Here is a 25,253-nt window from a genome sequence, read left to right as displayed (position 1 = left end):
GAGAAGCTGACAATATAGCAGGAAAGACAGACATGTGTATAAGCAATTAAAATGCAATGTGATACTACAGTGATGGAGAACAGGTGTGAGGTACGGGCTAGGGGTGGTAGGGGGTAATATAAAGGGAAGCACCTGGGAGTTATCTCATGATACTGTCTGTATACTGACTGTGGTGGCACCCACACAAATCTGTACAGTATTAAAATTCATAGACCTGTATGCCAAAAGAAAAAAAGGCCAATTTTACTCTATGATAGTTAAAAGTTAAAATAAAAAAATTCTGATAGATGCCCATCAACAAGAGAGAACGGATAAACGATGGCATATTCATACAGTAGACGCTACTGAGTAATAAAAGGAATAGATAGCTGACAAATGCAACAACGTGGATTAATCTCAAAAGCATTACTGAGTGAAAGGAGCAGATATGATGAAGTACATCCTGTATGATTTCATTTATAGGAACTTCTAGAGTAGGCAACATTAACATATGCCGATAGAAGTCAGATCAGCTGTTGCTTCTGTGTATATGGGTGTGGGGAGTGGGGTGGGTTTGATTGGGAAGGGATCTTAAGGAACTTTTAGGTGTGATGAAAATGTTCTAGGTCTTGGTAAAAACTGATTGAACAGTACACTTAAGATGTGAGTACCTCAATAAATGTAAATTATAACTCAATTAAAATATGCATTTAGCTATTGGCTTGTCTTTCACAGCATAAAATTTCTAATGGTGTTTAAAGTTGCAAAAAACATTAACAATCTCTCTACCATATGTTATGTTTATTTTTAAGATCAATTGGATTTTTTTGGTGTCTTAATGAAGTAAATATAATATCTAATAATAAATCTTGTGACAAAGATAATTAATAATTAAAATGTGCAGAGAAGGGCAGAACTCTACATTCTGCTGGGGTGAGGATTTGTTGCTGTATTTTAGGAAAGGCAAGAAAGAGGCAAGTCTCAAGAGGATGTTGAAGGGTAGAAGTTCAGTGCACAGACCAGGAAAAGAACGTTCCAGAACAACATGTGCAAAGTCACAGATGTGAGAAAGGCTGGCATTGTGCTAAGCACTTTGCCTGGACAGTTGAATCCTCATTATTATCTCCATGTTTCATAGCCCAGGCTTGACAAGGCATGAGGCCTGGTCCAGGTTCCTTGGCTGTCATATAGGCAGAGCAAGCATTCTCACACAGATAGTGCAGAAACTCACTCTTGTCCTCCTTCGTGTGCTGTCTCCTGTCATGCTGGGGTGTCTGGCTTTAATCATGGCACTGATGGGACCTAAGAGAGGCTTTTACCTAACCAGAATCTACTTTAAGAAGATAACTAGACTGACAGTAATGGATCATTTGGGCTGTACTTACCAGCCTTTCTTCCTGCTTCCCTTCACCTGAAAGCACAACTACTTCAACAAGATCACTAGTAACAGCGGCTGAACAGTGATCACCAAGGTCTGTCTCCACGCCCTCCATTCCACAGACTCCTTTGTCAAGAGGTTCTAATTGTGGGATTATGTAAGCAGTGAGATGATGGTCCCATAAGTTTCTAAGTGAGAGATGGGATGCTCTTGGGGTCCCCAAATCCCACTGGGAACTATATATGGGGTGGAAGGTCCCTGACTGGGGAATTTTGTGCAAATGTCCTCACCAAATCTCCTAGATGATACTGAGACACTGAGGTAAACAGGATTTCCTGGCTAGCTGTTTTGCAGCTAGATAATTAGATTTCCTAGCCCTGGAACAGCTAAGGTACAGAACTCTGTCGGGCTTGGAGGTTTTAGAGCCATCCTGGGAAAGACGACATTGTCTCTATGTGCTGTAAGGATTCTGGTTCTTGGCTGGACCCATGGAAAGCTCTCAGAAGAGCCTGGGCCCTGCTCTCGAGGGAAGTGCCTTCTACTGGACAGAGATGAATGAGGATTAGGCCAAGGGTTTGGCAATGGAGAATTGCCTCAGTTGAAAATGGCTTTAAAATAATCACAACAAAGCTACATAGAGCTCTATAATTTATAAGGGTAGAATTTATAAACTGTGTTCATGTTCATTATTTAAAAATGATTTTGAGTCCCACAAATATGCTGGACGTCAGCAATTTACAGATTTGAAACTTAGGAAGGTTAAGTGACTGAGACGTGCATAGCTGCCTGCCTGTCTGCTTTCTTTCCTTAGTTCTCTCTCTGCCCAACTTTCTTTTTTTTTTTTTGAGACGGAGTCTCACTCTGTCGCCCAGGCTAGAGTGCAGTGGCGAGATCTCGGCTCACTGCAAGCTCCGCCTCCCGGGTTCACACCATTCTCCTGCCTCAGCCTCCTGAGTAGCTGGGACTATAGGCGCCCGCCACCACGCCTGGCTAATTTTTTGTATTTTTAGTAGAGACGGAGTTTCACCGTGTTAGCCAGGATGGTCTCGATCTCCTGACCTCGTGATCCACCGGCCTCGGCCTCCCAAAGTGCTGGGATTACAGGCATGAGCCACCGCATCCAGCCCCAACTTTCTTCTTTTGTGTTTTCAATATCTAGCTCTTAGTTAACTATAGATCATCTTATTCTAGAAAAAAATTTAAGGCAGCTTACAAGGTTACAAAAAAAGACTATATAAATTAAAAGTGGGAGTGAATATGAAAGAAAAATAAGAATTGGACCTGAAATTAATCCAAGACTTATGATAAAGATATAATGGCCTATACATTTGCTACTGATGGGGCACAAATTTGATTCTACGTTTGTAGGAACCCATGTGAAAAAGGAAACCTGGTCACTATTCATAGTATGCATAAGCTAAAATGACAATGACAAAACAATCAATTACTCAAGAGAAGTACAACTATTTTAGGTTCCTAATAATTACAACTTGGCATAATGCACAGTAGCTTCCTTTGATTATTAAACAAAACTAGGCATTCAAAGATGATTTTGGTTTTCAACTGTCTTTTCAGTATACAAGATAATTCACCATGTGAATTTTAAAAAAACATGAAAAGCATACCATCTCTCTGAACTCATGTAGCAAATTCCATTACGAAAGTCAAAGCAGGTGAGACCCCAGTGAGCCCACTAGCTGTAGGAACAGTTCTAGGACTCAGGGATATGGGTAGAGTGACAATTTCCACATGTACTACAGGGGAAGAGACAAAGCCACTCACTGTGGCATAGGAATACATAGATCATCATACAGACGTTATATCTTATTTTGTAAATTTTTTTTAACTTGGTGGCAAATATTAACATGACCCTTTATACCACAAGTTCCTTATAATGGCTGTTTTTAATATAGAAAAGCATTGTTCCAGAGCACCATTTTCTCTGTTGTACATCTTGCTGCATTCATGCCCTAGGGCTAGAGTTTATTTACACTGGCTAGTTTATACCTTCCTCACTCAACCCTCCAGTTTCCCTTACTTTTATGCCAAAAAAAGGACACAGAGTTTTTCCTTTTTGTAATTTACATATGTAGAAAATATGTCCAAGTCAGGATGCCCCTTTCATCCACAGGAAGAGTCTGGGGCCACCTGACTCATCAACAGGACAAATCCAGAAATAGAAAATGCAATCTAGCTAAAAGAGAGAGACAAGTGGAAACTTTTAAGCCAGCACACAGCTAAGGTGTTATGTCATATGAAATTAATTATCTGAGGTCAGCGATTAGAGTTAGGTTACAGCCCAATCATAATTCTGCCTGCTAATTACTTGACCCGTTACAACATTTATTTCACTGAGAGTTGCTCAGCTATAACTTCCAAGGGTGGGCTTGGGACAGATGGAAGGAAGCAGACAGCCAGAGAAACAGCAACTCCTTCCTTTTGCAAACAGATGTGTCTCCCAGGCCCCTAACTAAAATGATTATTTCCTGCTTTTCTAAGTGAGGGATCAGATGTGTCCCGCTCTTCCCTTTCCAGCAAAACGAAGCACCTGAGATCACAGAGCTCTTCAGTGAAGTGCAAAAGATGACTGAAGAAATTGAGTTATGTTCCGTCATGAGAAGCACTAGAGTAACATGATAACAAAACCACCCTCCCTATGGGAAAGAGGAGGAAGCCAGGGAATAAATGGTGTGGCTAGAATGGTGCATTTATATATTTCTTTCACTTCCGAAGACTGACCTCTCCCAATAAAGAGATTTGGAGTGGCACTAAGAAGAAATGGCAATTGCCGAATGGAGATATTGGAATAATGCAAGTACTGTGAACAGGGGCAGCTCTAAAATACAGAGAATAAACAGCCCTTACTCAAAGGGAAGCGTCAAGCAGTGCCTGAGGGATTGTGCAGGAATGGCTGGTGGGGATGAGGTACAGACTGAAAACGGGGATCTGAGAGTTAGTACCTGACATGTGAACGCATATACATCTCATCAATTTATAAACCATTGACATCAATAATAAAGAGCAGCAGCAGCAACTGCTGCTGCTACTAGACAGCATATAGTGCCAGGTCCTGTCCCCAGAGCCTTGTGTTTACTACCTCGCTGAGGAGTGCTGTCCCCTGCTTTCTCACACGGGCCCAGGTGGCCTTTTGCCATTTGGGGATGTATTTCCTCCTCTAGGATGTCCTTGATGTTCAAGCAAGGCTATTGGTGCTGGGTGGTGAGGACTGCGAGGACAGGGAGGGAACCAGGACCTACCCCGTGACTGGTTTGCTGCAGGCTCCTAATCACATGAGGCTGCTGAGAAGGTCAGGGTCACCAGCTGTGACCTGGGGGCCAATGGAAAGGCCTGTACTCCTCAGCCTCTTGCTTTCTCTCATCATTCTCATTTCTGCCCCTAAATCTACTCACTGTGAAAGAAAACAAGGGAAACACTGATGCCTGTAGCTGAAGTGTGCAGTTGAATGGTCAGAAACTAGACTTCTCACATGTAATTGAATCATCATAGTGCTGGTGACAGCGTTCCTATTCCAACTTCCAATTTTCAAGTTATTGTTGGGGTTGAAATATCTCTCACCTCAGAATTTTTATTTTGGAAAATCTCCAAAGCACACTTTTAGCCAAAATTGAGTAACTGAAACAGGAAAAAAAAAATAGGAATGTTTTCAGCCACATTAAACTCTAACCAGATGCTCTTAAAAAACTTTTTGTATGTATACAGCACCTTTTATTCTAGCGGAGAGTCATGTTTTTCAGCTCTGAACTGTATCTGTCATAGACTGAAAATAGTAATACTTTAAGAGCCATGGTAACCACCTGACAAATATATCCTCTCCACATAGGAGGTAAAGAGGACCCCAGTGCTATCTCTAATTCTCCCTCTCTACCCAGACCACTAGAAATCCAAGTGAAGTTAATGTAATGAATATTTATTGAATACCTTATTTGTACCAGGAACAAAGGTGAAGAACACTGGGAAGTTGGCATGAATTTAACCAACCTGCAAAGTGAAAATGATAGCAGATCTAGGACATTGTACAAAGCGTTAGGGCCGGGACCTACCTTACTGGACCACCTGAAAGACAGCACTTCTGACACCTTTTCTTCTGTTAATCATCAGGCAGAGAGAAATGCTTTTGGCCTTTAGAGGAAGAGCCGTGTGAAGGAAAATTAATGATAGGCTGCCTACAGTCCATGAATTCCCAGGTCATTTTCCTTGGGTCTACCCAGCGCACGGCCTGGGAGTACCCTGTTCAGGCAGTATTTGGACCCCCAGCAACCACTTCGACCCTTCCATTCTCCATACGAGAGCCAAAAAGATCTTTCCAAAAGGTAAATAGGATCATGTAAACTTCCAGGTTAAAACATCGCAGCAGTCTGCTTTTATACTTAAAATAACACTCACACTCCCTAGCACCACCCCCAGGGCTCCCCTAACTGGGACCCTAATTCCTCCTTCAATCCCACTGCCTCCTCTTTGGCTCACAATACCCCAGCCATGCTGACCTCCTGGAGTGCCTAGAACATGGAAACTCCTTTCTTGCCCCGGAGCCTTCACACCTATTGTTCTCAGACCTGAACGCTTCCTCCTCTAGCTCCTTCACATCACTCCCATCTCAGGTTAAATGGCCTCTTCAGAGAGAGGTCTCCTCTGACATCTGAGGTTCGCTCACTCCCCCAGTTCTCTGTCATGATTTTCTCTTCCTTTCTATTACAGCACTATCACAAGATGTACTTATCATCTGATTTGTTACCTTGTTTTTATTTGATCCTTCCCATAGACTTTACATTCCAAGATAGGAGGGACCAATACCATCTGCTTTTTAAATATAATCTCCCCAGTATTCAAGATATGCCTGGACATAGTGGACATGTAATAAATAACTGTTGAATAGATGAATGAAATGAATATAATTGCAAATAATAAATTTTTTGTAAAGAAGGCCATCTTTATATTTTATGTTTTTACTACCATAAATACTATTGTACTACCATAAATCTGGATTACTATTAGAGGTTTTTCATGTATTCATTTTAACCAGGACCACCCTGACTGGACTTAAGAAGCTGAGAGAATGGAGAGCTGATGTATGGCTGCAATTAGAAAGTTTCAAAACTATTGCTTTAAAACACCAGGTTTGGCACACAATGCATTTTGAATAAGGGGGAGAGGGGTTAGTCCTTCTAATTTAAAGCTATTTGCGGTTGAGAGCAGAGTTCCTATTATGTATGTGGCATGGTGTTCCTTAACTGAAGAAAAATGACAAAGAACCTTAACATGAAGCACCAGAACACTAAGAATGAATAGCACAATGTATTCCTGGGGAGCTATTGTGAAGCTGGCCTAAGGAGGAATACCCTTGTCACTTTGCCATGTGGCTCCGGCCTAGGCTGCCAAATCATGGAGTTGTTGGAAACTAAGAAGTACCCTGGGTGCCAGTCTTGTTTTTCCAACCATGCCCAGTGGCTAAAATGGAAGATCTTGAGTCTTCACACTGTGTCCTGTCTGGTTCTTCAGCCAGCAAAACCAAATTTTGTAGGTTACCAGGAGCCCACCCACACCAGAAAGGGGGGTCTAGAATTGTCTTACTGCCTAGGGATGCTCTCTGGAAGCCCTGCAGTGGGTTCTGGGTACTTGTACACAGCATGAACAGCAGTCTTTCTCCAATCACCTCCTGATTTGCTCAGGGTATAGGCCCAAACTTTTCCCTTGGTTTCCTCCATGCATTTAATTTCTCTGTTAGGACTATAGCTCTGCTCAGCACCTAGTTTATTTGCATGGGGTTCTGCTTCCTTGCATAATTCTTATCTTTCCATGTCTCTTGCTACTCGTTCCTTATCTGCTGCTTGGGATCAGGCCCCAACCCAAGGAGCACACCTGGAATTGTGCCGCAGCCTTCTGCCGAGATTCTCCTTGCAGTGTTGAAATACCTCACTTGTAACATATGCTACTGGTTCTGCTGCTGGGAGCAGCCTCACCTATTTCTAGCCCCTCCGTGAGGCCAGCCTCTGAGGTCCCAGCATCCTTCATCAACAAACATGTATTGAGGTGACACCAGGGGCCCCCTCAGAGCACCAGGATAAATTTGCTTGAGATGGGAGTGTAAATTAGTTCAACCATTGTGGAAGACAGTGTGGCGATTCCTCAAGGATCTAGAACTAGAAATACCATTTGACCCAGTAATCCCATTACCGGGCATATACCCAAAGGATTATAAATCATTCTATGATAAAGACATACACACATGTATGTTTATTGTGGCAGTATTCACAATAGCATCACATGTACACGTATGTTTATTGTGTCACTATTCACAATAGCAAAGACTTGGAACCAACCGAAATGTCCATCAATGATAGACTGGATTAAGAAAATGTGGCAAATATACACCATGGAATACTATGCAGCCATAAAAAAGGATGAGTTCATGTCCTTTGCAGGGACATGAATGAAGCTGGAAACCATCATTCTCAGCAAACTATCACAAGGACAGAAAACCAACACCTCATGTTCTTACTCATAAGTGGGAGCTGAACAATGAAAACACACGGACACAGGGAGGGGAACATCACACATCGGGCCTGTAGGGGGGTGGGGGGCTAGGGGAGGGATAATATTAGGAGAAATACCTAATGTAGGTGATGGGTTGATGGGTGCAGCAAACCACCATGACACGTGTATACCTATGTAACAAAACAGAACGTTCTGCACACGTAGCCCAGAACTTAAAGAATTAAAAAAAAGAGTTTGCTTGAATTCAGGGGTCACTTTGGAGAAGCTGTGACGTAAGTGGTTTATCTAAGGTTTTATGTCAAATACAGGGCATGCAGTGGTACCAAAGTTAAAGCTGAGCCACACAATTTTCATGAGTACAAAGCTGGATGCCATAGCCCTGTCCTTAAGGCACGGGGCAGCTGCAAGGGCTGAAGCCATCCTGCGCTTTCCTGCCAGGGTGCCTGGGTTGACTCGGTGTCCTCTGCCTAGAATGCCCTCCTTCTTACTCTTTTCCTGCCAGAAACCTACTGCTCCTTGCCCAAGGTGTCCAGTTAAAATAGTTGCATCCCCACCCCCACCCCGTGAAGCCTCCCTGACCTCCACCTCAGGAAGACTTAGACAACAGGCTACTCAGCCCTACATCAGAACACCTAGCCTATTAAAATGAGAATCTCATACCACCTTTCCTATTAGACTATGAGTTCCTGAGCGACAGAGACAGGACAACGTTTTGTCTTTAAAGGACCAAGACCTAGCACAGTGCTAGGTGCCACGCTTAGCACGGTTGGTATAATACCTCTTTATAAGATGTGCAATTAATACAGAAAACAGGATTAGAATGAAATAACATTTTTAGACAGAAGGAAGGCTGAGAGGGGAGAAAGACTTCTAACTCGTGTATTTTCCTGTGCAAAAGGAATCTTTTAGCCAAGGAGAAGACACTGGTCCAATCTGAGATGTTGCTAGAATTATCCCTTCCCTCTCTTTTACTCTACATTTCAGAGAACCAGTGCCTATTTGGAAAAGTAATATGGGCACACAAGGAAGAAAGCAATGCAGTGACATATGTCAACAAGGCTACTGAACGATGATAGCTATGCCAGAGAAAAGCATTACATAATGACATCAAAATAGGACACTTGAGGAATGTCTTAGAGCTAAAACAGCTGTCACCTGGTATTTTGGCATTATTGAAGAACATGAAGAGATAGTCCCTGGAAACTGGAGAGTACAGCTTATTTGCAACAACAATTTTCAGAGGTCAAGAACATGTTTTCCTCATTTTTTAAAAAAGTTAACCTCTTATTATCATTTTCACTTGAGAAAATTATGATGCTCTAAAATGTCTAATACTTAAACACTGCCTATAGGTAGGCATCAAAGGCAGACAGAGGCTCCCCTCATTATACCAGTTCCTAAATAAACCTGTAAACTTGGAGATATTTGTCTATTTTGTAGATTATCCAGAACTTTCAATTTTACATATAAATAATCCCACTCTTAAGGAACATTAAGAACAGGATAATACATGAAATTCTAACTGTCAATTTTGCTGTTAGTCAAATGTCTGTTAGGACAAAAGTTTACAACCCTGGAATTGAAAAATGACTAATTGGTTTAATATGTGTAATTTTCTTATTTTTTTTACCCTCTAGCTCAGTGAGATGCTGTTCTGAAGTTGCTTTCCTCTGGGGCTGCTACTCTCATCCTTTGTTCATTTGGTTAAAGAGGTCAGATGCTTCATCCATTCAAAGATGCATCAATTCTATGATGTGTTGTGTATTGACTATGTGCCAGAGGCTGCAACTGCAAAGGTGGAAGGTGCACTCTGCACCCCAAGAACTTCCCATTAGTGGGGGAGAGACAAGTATGCTTGGCAATTGCAATAACATGGGATTGAGGGTAAAGTATGGTTAAACTCTGGGTGCCTTGGGAGCACTATGAGGGTTACATGATCCATCTGGGATACAGAGGGGACAGTGGGAAGGATGGGATTTGGGATGTGAGTCAAGAAAAAGTAGGCATGCCTGGGGGAAACTGATGTCCTGTGATCTAGCTCTGCTACAAGAATTCATTTTTCCTTTATAATTCATAGAAACAAAATAAATAGACAAATTAATTTATACCTCATATTTTCTAGAATTAGCAATATATATCTGTCAACACCTTGCAGACATGTGCAGTAATAATTGTAAAATCTAGCAAAAAGCACAGTATTAGGCTTCCCTGAATCATTTTAAAGTCATTAATTCACAGACTCACATAATGTTAGTACTAAAATAGAACTAAGACATCTTTTTCAGTGCAAAACCTTCACAGAGGAGGAAACCGAAGCTCAGAGAGTCAACAAAAAACGAAACAAAAAAAACAACAACACGACCACCAAAAGATTAGGAATGTTTTTCTTGATATTTCCCTTCTTTATTTGGTTGCTTGGTCACCTGTCAGTGGGTGGGACTAAGACATCTTTAGAGAATGTGTTCTGTTTATGGACTCACAATTCTTTCAGTTATCTGTAGGATGATATCTAAGAGTCAGCCCAATACATTCCCTCCTTTCCTCCCCATACAGATACCTATTTTTGGTAGATGCTGTGACAGAAAGGCCACAGGAAAGGGGAAGAGTTTCTGTCCTAGGGGTCAACTTTTGAAAGTTAACTGATGAACTAATATCAATTCCATGGACCCAAGGAAGCTTAAACGGAGATGGAATTTTAAGATAATTATATTGTAGGATCTACATAGGCTGAGACAATTATGTTAGTGCTTGAACAGAGGCCGCATGGATACTCTGCAACTGGAAAATGAACTATTAAAACAACAAATGGCTAGTTTCATAAAGTTAATTTCAAAAGTCTATGTCACTAATACAACTGTAAGTGAAAAGCTGTCCTGTAACTCTTTCAAAGCTGACTGATCAGGAGGTGAAAAGTCTAATGTAGGATCATTTAATATCTCAAAATCTCTTAAATAACTAATTTTCTGTATTAATAATACAATACTATAGCAATGCTATCTAATAGAGATATAATATAAGCCGTGTATGTTATGTTAAATTTTCTAGAAATAGTAAAACCAATTTTTAAAAATAATAGTAAATACACAGAACATATTACCATTTTAACCCTTTTCATGTGTGCAACTCAGTGAAATAAAGTACAACTACACTGGTATGCAACCATCACTACTCTCTATTTCCAGAATTTTCCCATCATCCCCAGATGAAATTCTACACCCATTAAACAATTCTCCCCATCATTCCTTCCCACCAGCTGTTGATAACCCTATTCTACTTTCTATTTCTATGAATTTGACAATTCTGGGTACCTTATATAAGTGGAATCATAACAGTATCTGTCCTTTTGTGCCTAATTTATTTCACTTAGCATGCCTTCATGGTTCATCCATATTGTAGTATGTATCAGAATTTCAATCGTCTTTAAGCCTGAGTAATACTCCATTGTATGTGTATATATATATATATATATATATATGTATATATATATATATATATATATATATACTGCAGTTTATCTATCCATTGATGGACATTTGGGTTGTTTCCACCTTTTGGCTATTGTGATGGTAAAAAAAAAAAGTGTATCTGTTTTACCCAATTTATCCAAAGTATTATCTTTCAACCTGTAATCAATATACACATTATTACTGAGATATTTTACATTAGTTGTTTTCTAATGTCTTTGAGATCTGCTGTGTATTTCATAATTACAGCATATCTCCATTTGAATTAGCCACACTTTATGCTCTTAATAACCATACGTGGTTAGTAGTTAATGTACTGGATAGCACAGTTCTATAGGAGAGTTTGCATTCAAGATTTTAAAAATCATGATTCCTTCTGGATGCCACCATGATGAATAATTCCACCTTATTTTTTTCTCATATAGCCCTAGTGTTTAGAGTTAGGCCTCGGAAGTCAGACTAAACTAAATGCAGATCCCGGTCTCTTACTAATTATCTCAGTGATGTTGGAAAGATTACTTAATCTTTCAAAACCTCAGTTCCGTTTTTTGTAAAGTTGGAAAAAAAGACTATTTCTCCCATAGGGTTTCTGTCTGAATTAAAATCAAATAACATAAATAAAGTGCTCAATGTACTTAATGTAGTGTTGCCAAAGTGTGACATAATAAATAGCAACTATAATAAAAATAATCCACTAGATTATAGGTTCACAAGGGCAAGGGCTACGTCTATCTTTCACAGTGTGCCTGACACATGGCAATTATTTATTTATGTGAATAAATAATTGAACTCTTCCCTCAGTCTTTATAAACTTTTGTTTCCATGACATCTTCACACCTTCACAGAGATTGCATGATGATTTCTAATACCTACCTTGCCATGAAGATACAGATACTTTATGGTATAGAAAGAACATGAAACTCTTATTCTCATCATTTCCTTCTTTTTTATTTAAAAAATTTTGACTACTTCCTTTCCTTTTCCTTGAGAAATCAGGGATGATGGGGCCAAAAAGACTAAGGGCCAAAGGGGCCCTTACCCACAGGGGCAATGAGCAAATACATAAGTATTCTGAGGATAACAGAAACCACCTTATCCTCACTGTTGGGGAAAGGAGTTACAAATATGGAAAGGGTTAAAAGCCAGATTATGTCTATGGTGTTAGATTGGAAATGCAGCTATCAGTGTGATCTCATAGTCTTTAATATAAATAGACAGAGCAACAGATATAGGCGCGCGTGTGTGTTTGTGTTTCCTAGCCTATTACCTGAAAGGGCCTGGAAGCAATGAGCTCACGCAATCCCCAGATCTTGGTTTCTAAATACCATTTTCCATAATGGATGGAGGTCTTCTTGAAGATATGGCTAATTCCAGAGTTGGGCACAGAAAGTACAAGATGCTTATGGAACATTTTCTTGTGCCAGAAGGTAAGAAAGTACTCAGAAAAACATGAGGACCACATCTGAGATCATTTGAGCATTAAAATAAATAATGATATTAGTGATTTATAACTCATTCAATAAAACAGCAATTTATGAGCTCATGTTGATATAAATAAACACAAAAATAAGTGAGGAGAAGGGAATGCTCTTCTTCACTCTAAGAAAGTTTATTTAAGAGCAATATGTTTACCTAGTCTCCAAGTATCTCCCCACAAAATATTTATTAACTGCAAAAGGAAAAACCATAATTTTACAGTAAATCTAACAGATACCACCTTAAGCAAGTGGGTTTGGTTACAAGACTAACTCCGTTTATGTGACTCCTGATATGATTAAGAAGAATACAGCATTGTTTCTGTAGTATTCCTGCCATAAAAATACACAATTTCAATCTCACAATGAGGAAACATCACACAAATCTAAACTAAGGAACATTCTACAAAACGTACTCTTCAAAAATGTGAAGGTCACATATAAAAAAGGAAGATTACAGAACTGTTCAAGATTGAAGGAACGTAGAGACAAGGCAACTAAATGCAACACATAATCGTGGACTAAAAAACCATTTTTTTTCTATAAAGGATATTATTGAGACATTTGGTGAAAAGTTGAATGGGATCTATGGATTAGAAAGTAAAGTTGATTTACTGAATTTAATTGTTATACTGTGGTTATGTAGAAGAGTATACTTACATTTTTAAGATAATCACACTAAAGTATATAAATTAATTCAGAAAAAAATATACACACACCAAAATAAACTCACGGGTGGAAAGGAGGATGAGAGAGAGAGACAGAGAGAGAGAGAGAGAGAGAGAGAGAGAGAGAGAGAGAGAGAGAGAGAGAGACAGAGAGAGAGAGAGAGAAAGAGAAAGAGAGGGAGAATACAACCAGTGGTAAAATGTTAAACATTGGAGAACCTTAGTGAAGAGCATATGGAAATTCTTTATTATTCCTGTATTTTTTCTATAAGTCTGAAATTATTTTGATGTTAAAAATTAAAAATAAAGAGCATGGGCTTTGGAGTAACTCAGATTCAATTTTGAATCCTCAGTCTTATATCTATCATCTGTGAGATCCTAGGAAGTTATTAAATTATTCTGATCTTTGGTTTTCTCATTAGATCACCAGGAGTAGGACTAATTTAAAGGGCTGCTGTGAGGATTAAATTAGATAATGCATGACTTGAGCACTGGGCAGGTGGTAGGCATGTCTGGTAAGTGATCTGATACATAATGGATGCTGAAATATATATTTGTTGAATAAATGAACAAACTCCTCCCTTCTATCCAACCCCTCAATCTGAACAAGTGATCCTACTTAAAGAAAATTAGATGCTTCAAATTTTAGCAATCCTAAGTATGAAGGTTTTCTTAACACTTGAATAATATAAAACAAAATGTCAAATAATAATAATAAACATACCACCATGCATTCCGATGTTGCTCTAGAGTTTCCTCAGCACTTTGCCCTCGTGTCTCCTGTGACACTAAATGGAACAGGCAGGCATTCAAGTTTGAGTCCAACACAGCGTTAATAATAGCGAATGTTTACAGTGCCTTGGGTTATGGGTGTCAAAGAAGGGGTCATGCCCTTGTTACTTAAATCACAAACAAGGCTTACATCAGCTCATGGCTGCAGGGTACAAAATGAGGTGCAATTTAATGTCCATCTGGGCATCTGTTCCTAAGGTGCTAGCACTGCTGTCTGTGGTTCACAATATATCTGGGGTAGCAACACAGCAAAGAATGGGACCCAGGTTGTGCTTGGGAAGTTTCTACTCTCAGCCAAGATGTGCACATGAATTTAAAATTACCTAAGAGGGTGTTTCAGAGTTGCTGGCCAAAGAGTGGTGTCTTCTAATCTGGAGAGCAGCTGCTGGGCACAGGCATGCAAACACACATACACAGACACACACACACACACACAGACGTGCTCACGGAGCCTGTGCCTGCCTCTACTTGTCTGCTCTGCGCAGATGGTTCCTGGCTTTTGGGTCACCTCATCCTGCAGCCCAGTCCAGTTAGAACCTTTCTTCCACAGAGACTGGCAAGCTGTGGGGTAAGAGTTTTGGTAAGGCTGCCTGTCTTCAGAGCATGAAGGACACTGCCCGGAGAGGGAAGAGGGCAATATTTAGTGTTTGGGCCTACTTGTTGTTGGGCTCCCCACTGCCTCTCCTTTGCAGAGCTATCACTGGCCCCTGGTTGCAAACTCTCGGTGGCTTTCAAGCCTACAAAACAAAAACTGAGAGGGTGTCCAAAAAGAGAAGAAGAAAACGTTGTTGTTGGTCCTGGATTCCACTGTTGGATTTTGGTGGGGATGAGAAGAAGGAATTACCAGGTGTGATCAACACCTGCACGGTACCTGCACGGTAAGCTAAGTGTCCCCATCCTTGCTGAGAAGAGGCTTTGGGATGTTTCTGTGTTATTCACCAGCTAGGAGCGGCCAACACCACTCTCCAAAAGTAGGATCTTGTGAATATTATGCAAGGGAACGTAGTATGATTAAGAGCTTATGACAGATGATGACTTTTAGGCTAAAATGACTAAGAGTTGCTTGCAAAATAGAGGAACTATCCTGACAGTAGGTAAGTTTTACTATAGTGATACACATGAAAGAAAACCAAAATGAAACTTTAAATTGTTATCCTGTTAAGAGTAAGATGGATAGTCAAAAATTAAAGAAAAAGTATGTTTGGATAAATGGCTTTCCTTCTTAATAGCTTGATTTTGTAAGCTGATGTGAATGATCAATATACAGTGTCAAAATCATCACAATGTGTTGAAAATGGAGAATTATACTGAATAGGTTAAATTGCAGAGGAGGAATTCTCTTTTCATGGAAAGATTAATGGAAGAAACTAACATTTTCAAATGGCAACTATATTGTATCTTTTTTCTTTTGTTTGTTTACCTTCTGTTGATGTTAAGATTTAATGAATGAGAGCCAGAGAACAGAAGCAGGTTTCTGAGATAAGGTTTTTGGCAGGTCTTGGGAGATACCTATCAAGAACTTGTTCTGTAACACCCCACAGAAGATGACTGGATATCCATGGGCACATCACATCTGGATATAAATGGGAAATGATGCTAGGCTGCTGCCAAATGATATCACAGAAAATTCTGCTCACTGTACTCCTCAATGGGAGGATTATTCAATGTTTAGGGTGGCTGCACAGTTTTGTATATAGGCGCTCCACTGAAGAGAGATATGTGTTCAGTTAAAATGGTTGTGACATATTCAGTTATTCTTTTTTCTTTCCATACCAATTAATGATTACATATCTTTCTTTATTCATTATCTGTTCACATCTCAGGAAGGAATAGAAGAGGTGCAACACATACACTGTTTAACTACACTACCATATTCCACGTGTGTATTAGATATGCATAAAGGAGAACATGGTGTAGTTAATACTAGAGAGAATGCATTGCAATTACAGCAATGTTCCTTTAGCTACAGTTAAACTTGTTTTTCCTGTGATGACATTTTCTGATTTATCAATCTGCTATCTCCCAAAGCCAAATATTCCAAGTAAACATTTCTCTACATTTATCAGTTGACACTATTATGAAACTCTCATTATGCTTAATTAAAAATCAGCATAAATACTGTAAGAGCTGTTTGTTAATAAAAACTTCTAAAGGCAGCAATAATATTCATGGGCTCTTTCCACCTGGGTAATTAAGGTCTACTACTCTGATGAGAATTTTCTCAGTAATTTCCCAAAGCAATGTGGGGTTTGGATTCTTATACTAACCAATACAAAGATACTCTGTAAAAGTTCTGCAGCAAAGAAAAGCATTCATTATTTAAAGAGTGACAATTTATTTTTAGAGTTTACCTTCTATTAAAGTTCATGTGTAATTGTCTTTTTTGCTTAAGCTTTATTTAAGCAATAAATTAGCAATAAATTTAAGTAATAAATTTAGTCAAGACTTGGTCTTAGGTAGTGGCGCTGGCACTGGAAATGAAGATATTTTATTGTGCCATTGAAATGATGGTGCCTTTAATAGAGTGCTATTGTAGGAGACTGCCATTGCAACTTGCCGAGAGTCAGGCAGGTCCAAGGATGCAAAAAACCTAAATGTAATGGGCTCTATCTTCTTTTCTTCTGATTACAGTCCATATTATTCTATGTTCTAACCTAAAGCAAAATTTTCATTACCAATGTAATACCCGCTTCACCTTTCTAATATGTTACATTAAAAAACATTTAAAGAAAAAGTGCTAGTAGCTTTTATTTTCCTTAGAGTAGAACTAGTGCCTACCAGCAATACACAGTAAGTTTGTTTAGTTATATTAGGGGAACACTTTTATAGTAATAGCTTAGTTTGTTTGCTCATTTGTTCATTCATTCATCAACTATTTTAGAATGCCTACTCTGTGCCAGGCCCCGTGCTGGTTATTGGGATTATAACAGTGAATGAGGCAAACATGGTCTCCAGATGCCCTGAGTGTAGGAATCTGCACAGAGAGTCTGATTACTAGTGATTTGAATCTGTGTATTGTGCATGTTGTTCAACATAGATATGGAGACAATTTTAGATACCATCTCAGCATCAAATAATTGAATTAGAAAACACATTTTAGTGCAAATACTTGAGCCTTCTTTGAGGGATGTTGACATTTTGGTGCAAGCTATAGATGTTAGACAAAAACTTTACATACTAATACCATCTGGTTCTTCAGAATTGGGTCAGACAGGAAGTCTAAGACAGAAGAAAATTTGTATTATAGCCTCTTAGAAGTCTAGGGTTCAAATCTGACAGTAGTTCAAGATTTTCTGTTTAATCTGATGGTCAATCACTGGAGCCTACACTGAAAGAGCAGCCCTACTGTGCTTCTCATCTTGGTTGAGGAGACTTTTCATAATGGCATTAACAATGTCATTTATACCTACAAGGTGTTTTATATTGTGTATAAAACTCGCATATCAATTACGCACTTGACCCTATGTAGTAGGAAAGGCAGGTATTACCATTCCCTGTTCAGCAGATAGATAAACTAAGTTTTAGATATTTAAGGGACTAGCCCAGCTAATGTTTTCTCTAACGCACAGCCTCATGGAGTAATCTCTTAAATAAAGTTCTAGAAAAATTCTGCATTTTCAACATGAGTACTCATAGCCCTGACCTATTGTTTGAAAGTGGTATTAGCAAACAGGAAAACATGCAGGTAGAGGAAAGTTTCACTCCTCCCCCTACCATCCTCTTTCTGCCTCCATTGCCCTTCTAGGTCCTTACCCTAGAGTTCTTCCTTCTGGCCCTTGAAAATTCAGTTTAGTTGCTAAAAGAGATATAAGCTACTGCCTTTTTCTTCTTCTTTTTGGGTGGAATGATGAAGTAGAATATGGCGAACTGGGCTGTAAAGCTCTGAATTGACTCCTATTATTGTAATGAAATAAAAAATTATTCTGAGTAATAAGATTTTAAAAAGTTTGTGACTGTTTAGGACAGGAACAGTATAGTATATTAGTATATCCACCTACATGCAAAATACAAATGGAATTTTACACTGCTGGTTAGTACCACCAGCCTAGCAACATAAAACATTGTCACATCAGATCAGACAATTTTCTACCCAGTCCAGATCCTGCTTCTGGTGCAAGCATAAGTAGGCTGTTGTGAAGAAGCAGTTTATCATGGGTAAGAGGAAAAATTCACAAGAAAAAATACTCTATATGGAAAAATGGTAAGCACAGGTAATGGAGAGCTATACAGAGCTGAGCAGAGCAGTGAATGGAGAAGGTTTTTCTGATGGATTTTGAGAGTTAAGCCACATAGCTAGTATTGTCTATTATTAGCTATGACCAAGCAAATACACGACTTTATTTCTTTTTTTACGTTCTTCCTGGAATTTCCTGTACATGTATTTAAAGTTTGTTGTAATTCCTTGGAGGCTTTTAGCTACTTTTTTCTCTATTTGTGGCTTGAAATGGATGACAGGTATCTTCATGATGGATCCAGGGACAATCACTTGACTAGGAAATTGGAATGCAGGGGAGGATAGCAAACGGGATAAAGCTGCTTCTGTGCTTCTCCTTAGAGTTGCTGCTCCTGACCCTGAAACAAAAAAATACAGAGGCAGCTGCTTCTGAGCCATGATATTAAACTGACAGGTTGTGACTAGGGACACCAGCTCCTTGTTTCAGCTGCCCCTAACATCTCTAAATGAAGCTATTTTAAGAACCTTTGCATTTGATCAGGGAGCATGTGGGGTTAACCTTATGTTTTCCCCTCCAGTTTTAGATTCTAAGCAGGTGCAGTTAGTAGTTCAAATTTTTAAAACTTATTATTGCATTTCCTTCCAATCAATGTAAAAATATTATATTCCCAAAGCTACCAGGGGTGTATTAGTGACTTGATTTATCTTCGGGCTGGTTCTATTTCAGATGACATCTCCTAATCTTTCTTCTTCGAACAAGAAAAAAAATGGTTGCCAACAGTTTGAAGGGTGGGTATGGGTACAGAAGTTACTAAGGATTCTTTGGCTGGGGGGTGGTGCTGGGGGGGGGGGGTCATAAAAGAAACATTTGCAGATGCAGATTGCAGTGCCTATCTCTTCCTTCAATGATTCCTGAGTTTGATGCTTTTTAATCTACTTTAGCAGCTAACTTATATATCATTAACCTTAGAATGTTAGGTAACAATATTTACAGTGGCTTCATTCATAATTGCCAAAACCTGGAAACAACCCCTTCAATTGGTAAATGAATAATCAAACTATAGTATATCAATACTATGAATTACTCAGCAATACCAATGAAACACACAACAATATGCATGAACCTCAATTGCATTATGCCAATTGAAAGAATCCAGACTGAAAAAGCTGCATCCTGAATGAGTTCATTTATACAACATTGTGGGAAAAAACCCCCAAAAACTATAGGGACAGAAAACACATCAGTGGTTGCCAACAGCTGACGCTGAGGGGAGGAACTGACTACAAAAGGGTGAGCAGGAACATCTCGGGTGATGGAACTGCTTTATGTCTTGACTATAATGGTGGTTACATGATTGCATGAGCTTGTCAAAATTTTCAGAATTGTACGTTATATAAGAGGTAATTTTACTATATGTAAAGCATACCTTATTGTGTGGCTCTATATTGAGAGAATCCCACTTCAAACTTCAACCAGCGTATCCTGCTTTGGTGTTGTATGGAATTCTTGCAGATTTTCATTGAAAAATTTTTTTTTAGGATATTAAAACACACAAAAGAAAAAGAACCCTTAAAAAATGATTAATAGAGTCCAACCACCTTGATTTACAGCGGAAGAATTGAGGCCTGAGAAAGTTAGTGGCAGAGAAATATGCTTTTTTTTTTTTTTAAGAGACAGTTAAAAACGATCATCCTGTAGAACCCAGAAAACTCAACTCTGTTCTTGTATAATACCGACTGTCAAACTGCATTGAAAAAGCCATGGGACCAAAAACTACGCAATAAACTCTAAGTACCTGCCTTCCAAATGCCATGTTGCGAAACTGGCCAGAAGCTGCTGGCTTCTGACAGATACACAGTTACAAGGGAATATGATCTGATTTTAGTATTCAGATAGACATAGCAAGCCTACTGTTTGTCAAAAACAACAGCCACCACAACCACACGCTGTGCTGAGCATGAGGTGTACCACAAAAGAAGACCCAAGCCATGTTTGGAAGGGGCATACATTTGTTCATTTGCTTACTTAGTTATCTAACAAACAAACGAGTGCCAGACACTGTCTTGGGTCCTGTAATCCAATGTTGATCTCGGAATTGTAACACAGTAGCATCTAGATACAGGGCAATGCCCAACCACTAGAATACAGTGAGGACTGTTTGAATTGAATACATGAATATCAAACAAAATCAGAGTCAAAACCAGAATGTACCACAATGCATTTAATGTCTAAGGGCATAGATTTTCCCAGATGGCATCACTGGCTTCTAATTCCATTTCAGTGTGTTCCTCAACAAGTTACCCTCTAAAGCCTCATGTTTCCTCAGCCATAAAATGCAGATAAGAATTGTACCTGCCTTGGTAAGTAATAAGCACAGTTAGTGACACATAAGTGCTCAATAATGAGAGGCTGTTATTATCATTATCATTAATATAGAAAACTCCCACTATGGTGCTATACCTTGGATCTATAAAAAATAATCAGTCTTGACAACGTGGTCAGTTCCTTCTGAAAGGCTGAAAAATGCTACAAGACCTAGTTAGATTGCACACAGACACAAAACTTTGGATTCCCTGGACCGAATTAAGAAGCCATGGGCTAGAAATGTCATCTATAAATAAAAGGAACTAGCATTTGAATCATGTATTTTCTTTGGGACCCTAAGTTAAGAACCAGTGCTCTAGAGTACACATCCACGGACAGGTATGAATTTAAAATGCCTCATTTCATGGTTTTGGCATTAAGAAAAATCCCAGAAAATTGATTATTAAATGTAAACCAGAAATTTTCTTGACCGATGTTAGAAAGGTAGAAACATCCTTTTCCCTTCCCTGAGATTCTCTGGCCCTAAGCAAGTAACTTTTTTTTTTTTTTTTTTAATTCTCTTGCTCTCTTCTACCATAAAATATAAATCATGTAATGAAGATTCCATAATCAAAAAAGTGTTAGTTTATGGCCTCACAGTCCAGAGGATTCTGAGGAGACAATGAAATTTCTAAAAGTGCAAAATTATTCCATAATGGGAAATGACTCTTCCTGTCTAGCAGTAATTATTTATGTAATACTACCTTGGGAGAATGTTAACAGTAGAGCGTTAAATTACTCCTTTTAAAACAAGGAATTTCCAACAGGGTTTTATTTGTTCTTTCCTAATTTAAAAAGACAGCATTTATACTCACAAGACTGCAAGTTTTACTAGCCTATCGTTTAGTGGTTAGGTTAGTTTCAGAAAGACTGTACTGAAGCATTAAATACCTGCCAAATGTGCGGAAGGAAAGCTCCAATTCAAATCATGACACACCCGTGGATTCATCACTCTCAAAGTAAACAAAGTGTTCAGAAATTCTACCAACAAAGTGTCAGAAGAGGCTATAATGCTTACTGAAGGGAGAAAAACTTTAGTTTACTTAAAACCCACATGCACTTTGTCATTTTCCCAGATGGCATCATAAAACTGCAATCATGACCTAAATAACCTAGTTTTTTCAGCATAGAATTCTATTATTATATTCCCATCTACATCTGGACAGTTCATCTTTAAAAGGCAATTTCAGTTGAAAAGAGAACTCAAAAGGTCCAGCTAGGTCTAGTGGAATTAATCTGTATATAAAACAAGGATTTTTTTTTAACTGTATGGAAGAATATAAAGATTTTCACCTGTACCTGCAGCACTAAGCATTTTGAACTGGTAGCTACAAATTTATATCTCTTGGCTGTGTAACAAAATCCATAAGTATTTATTCTTTGAGAGTTAGGTCAGACACACATTGGTGGCAAAATGCCAGTCACCACTGTAATGGGGCTCCCTTCATCTACTGACCAGAAAATATTTTTCTCAGAGTTTCCCTTAGCATACTTCTGTTATCTTATTAACTTTCTGCATATTTTTAAAAAGCAACAATATAACCTCTGGCATCTTAAATTTTCCAGACATATGAAAACATACTACAGGGATCAGGGCATTAGGTTAGGAGTAGTACAACCACCAGTTAGACACAATTTGAGTGAATCAGATGGGGTATAACTCATCTAAAGCATTCAAAAGGAAGCTTACATTTACAGCAGGAAGGTGAGCAACATGCTTTAGGCCAGGTGAGCATGCATATGCTTCTGGATCCTACAGCCCTTACCAGGGAAACACAGTTAGAGAAAATGATACCCACACATGAAGGCAGATCTTTTTCAACTAAGAAATCATTCTCCAGCTCTCAACCTTTCTTTGGGTAAAGAGTCAAAGTGGGGTTTCTGGGTGCAGTTTTCAGATGGGTGGCTCCAGATCATCTGCCACCATTACCCTCATTTCTGCTGGAGTCCTTCTTGTCCCTGGGGCCATATCTTGCATAATCCTGAGATTAATAAATCTGGCTAGATGGGAGGGTCCTTGGAACAGATCCAGATTAGGTTACATGTAGAATCAGTCATGCCTAGGCTGGCCTGGAAGAGGACTGAGCTTTCAGTCTGACATTATCATCTGCAAGTGTAAATCCCTGGAGAGTATTCCACAGCTGGAAGCTTGCACCTCTGCTCATAATGGTATCCTGGCTGTACTGACTTGTTGCTGCATCCTTTTGATAAGTCAACCTCTTCTGATTTACTATGTGGTATCTGTATCTGATTGTTCCATCAATCCTAGTCTACCATTGACAGTAATATCATATTTTCTCCATATGCTATACACAGCACATATGGATATTTTATTTAATTGAAACCCCTAGGAGGTATAATCTGTCTGTCTTGACTTCTAGACTCCCAGGCACAACTTTCTGTCCACACCATCTGATGGTGAGAAGCTATGTGAATTGAATGACTTCCAAGATGATGTTTCTAAGTTTGAAGTGAGAAAAGAAAGCTCATTGATTAAAAAAAAGTTTTTGTTTGATAAACAGAGAACTTACAACTCCTTTCAAAAAACTACTTGCATCCCAGGAGGTTAAAAGCCTGAGTATGAGGTATGCTATTTGGAGAAGGAAGAGTGACAACAGTAAGAAGCATGGGCTTCTAAAAAGGAAACTGATCTTCTGAAATGTCTCCTGGGATTGCATCAGCTTGACCTAGCAGTTGTTTTTCATTTCTACTTTCCAGACCACCTTTGTGTAAGAATTAATGACCTTCCCTCAGCCTATTAACTCAGAATGTCATTAATCTCTAGGAAATACCTTATCAATTCTGCTTAAAGGGTATATGAGAAGTGCTATGTTTTCGGTTAATCTTATAGCCCTTTAACCACCCTGTTCAATGATTACTGAACCTTCCTGGAAGTCCCTTTTGCCCCAGAATTAGTTAACATTTTAATAGCAGTCTTACTTGTAAGCTATGAAATTGTTAGATACGAATTGCAGTTGATTCAAAAGAAATGCCTTCCAGGGAGCCAAACTGAGTTGTGAGAAATATGTGTCTAAAAAGATATTACTAGTCCAAATTCCTATTGCTCATGTCTTTCCTGAGTACTTAACAAACTAAATATTGCCACTCCCAAATCAGTATTAATGGTCAGCTTCAATTATATGTTATTTCAACTTTAAGCTCTGGTAGGAGAATACATTATCTACTAAATCAGCCTTGTCAACAGGCCAGAAAAATCTTTACAGGCATAAATGTTTGTATGCTGTTAGAGGAAAGTATATGAGACTTAAACAATGCTTACTTGTGAACACCCTTTCCAAGACTAGGCTAAGAGAACAATAGCTACACCTAAGTATAGTAAAAGAAACAATCTGTAAATGAAGATTCTTATATACATAAATCATGTCATGAGCAGAAAGTTAAATAAAGGCAGATACTTTTACAGAAAGATTAGAGTTAATGCATAGGTGAGGTTTTGGCTGTTACAGACAGAAGAAACTATAGAGGTAGAAAAACATGGAAGTGAAGAAACAAGGATGGCAATAGCTAGATATTGAGCTAGCTAAGCTGTAAATGGTGATTCTCAGCCAGTTTTGGGGGTAAGGGAAAATAACAGGGGTGACTCTTTTCATCCCTGTTTTTTCTGAGTTTCTCTTGATGAAAGTTTTTCTTGATGAAAGCTAACAAGCTGAGAACATCAGTGCAAATCACCAAAGCAATCGGGTCAAATTCACTGCTACTACTCCTGCAAAACAGGAAAAGGCCCTCAAGCTTAACTTTTAGATTCCTGGGCATGCAAAGCAGGCCTTGGTCAGCCAGATCTGTACTCGGTTCTTCTCTGCCTTGGTCACTGTCCTCTGGGTCTTGGGAACACAGGCCTATGTTCCAAGCCATTGTTCTTTAAACAAAGTTGTGAACTGCTAACAGTTTTATTTAAAAGTTTATAAAATGGTAACCACATTGCTACATCTTTCTGGAGTATCTCAAACAAAGTGTGGGTCACATTTCTTGTGTAAAAAAAAGTGTAGCTCAGAGTTATTGAATAAACAAAGACAACTGATGTAGTTAACGGGCTTTGTGTGACCACAGCTATGTCATCTTGGTCTTGATTCCAGTTTCAGGCAGAGGTCAGGGTGAGCCATCCCACAAAGGGGCCTCCTACCAGTCAGTCCATCTAGATGCTTTGCCTGAGCAAGCTTCTTTGCAGTCCCTACCCTGTAACTTGGCATGACTGGCAATGGGGGTGGGGGTGAGAGAGGGCCACTCTCATTGTAACCTGTGCTCTCCAATCCAAACACACACAGAGAGCAGTTGGCTTCATTTCAGAGAAATGAAAAGTCACCTCTCCTCAGTGGATGGCTAGAAGCCCCAATTTGGTGACATGGCCTCTGGGCCTTTAAGCAAATAAGGTAAGAGGACGCTTCTACTAACTGAAAACCTCTGAGTTAATGCGCCTGATTAAACAA

General features: G+C 39.1%; 2 protein-coding genes across 6 annotated transcripts in view; one reads left to right on the top strand and one right to left on the bottom strand.

The window, feature by feature from the left end:
* The window catches only part of CMSS1 (cms1 ribosomal small subunit homolog), a 363,871-nt gene that overhangs the window by 52,533 nt on the left and 286,085 nt on the right, over nt 1-25,253 (bottom strand). Inside the window, exon 1 of one of the 2 annotated variants that reach the window (NM_001167924.2) lies at nt 14,202-14,267. The exons of the other annotated variant lie outside the window; for it this stretch is intronic. Coding sequence (NP_001161396.1) covers nt 14,202-14,211 — 10 coding nt within the window. The 5' untranslated portion in view covers nt 14,212-14,267. Of the gene's footprint in view, nt 1-14,201; nt 14,268-25,253 lie in introns of those variants that run through there. 2 annotated transcript variants of the gene reach the window in all.
* The window catches only part of FILIP1L (filamin A interacting protein 1 like), a 285,691-nt gene continuing 275,136 nt past the window's right edge, over nt 14,699-25,253 (top strand). For all 4 annotated transcript variants that reach the window (NM_001387852.1, NM_001387850.1, NM_182909.4 and 1 more), the window contains exon 1: nt 14,699-15,147. The gene's annotated coding sequence lies outside the window, so the exon portion shown is untranslated. The remainder of the gene's footprint in view (nt 15,148-25,253) is intronic.

Source organism: Homo sapiens, chromosome 3 (genome assembly GCF_000001405.40).
Source record: "Homo sapiens chromosome 3, GRCh38.p14 Primary Assembly".
NCBI lineage: Eukaryota > Metazoa > Chordata > Mammalia > Primates > Hominidae > Homo > Homo sapiens.
Note: the sequence above shows the minus strand (reverse complement) of the source record. Positions and strands in the feature narration are given on the sequence as shown.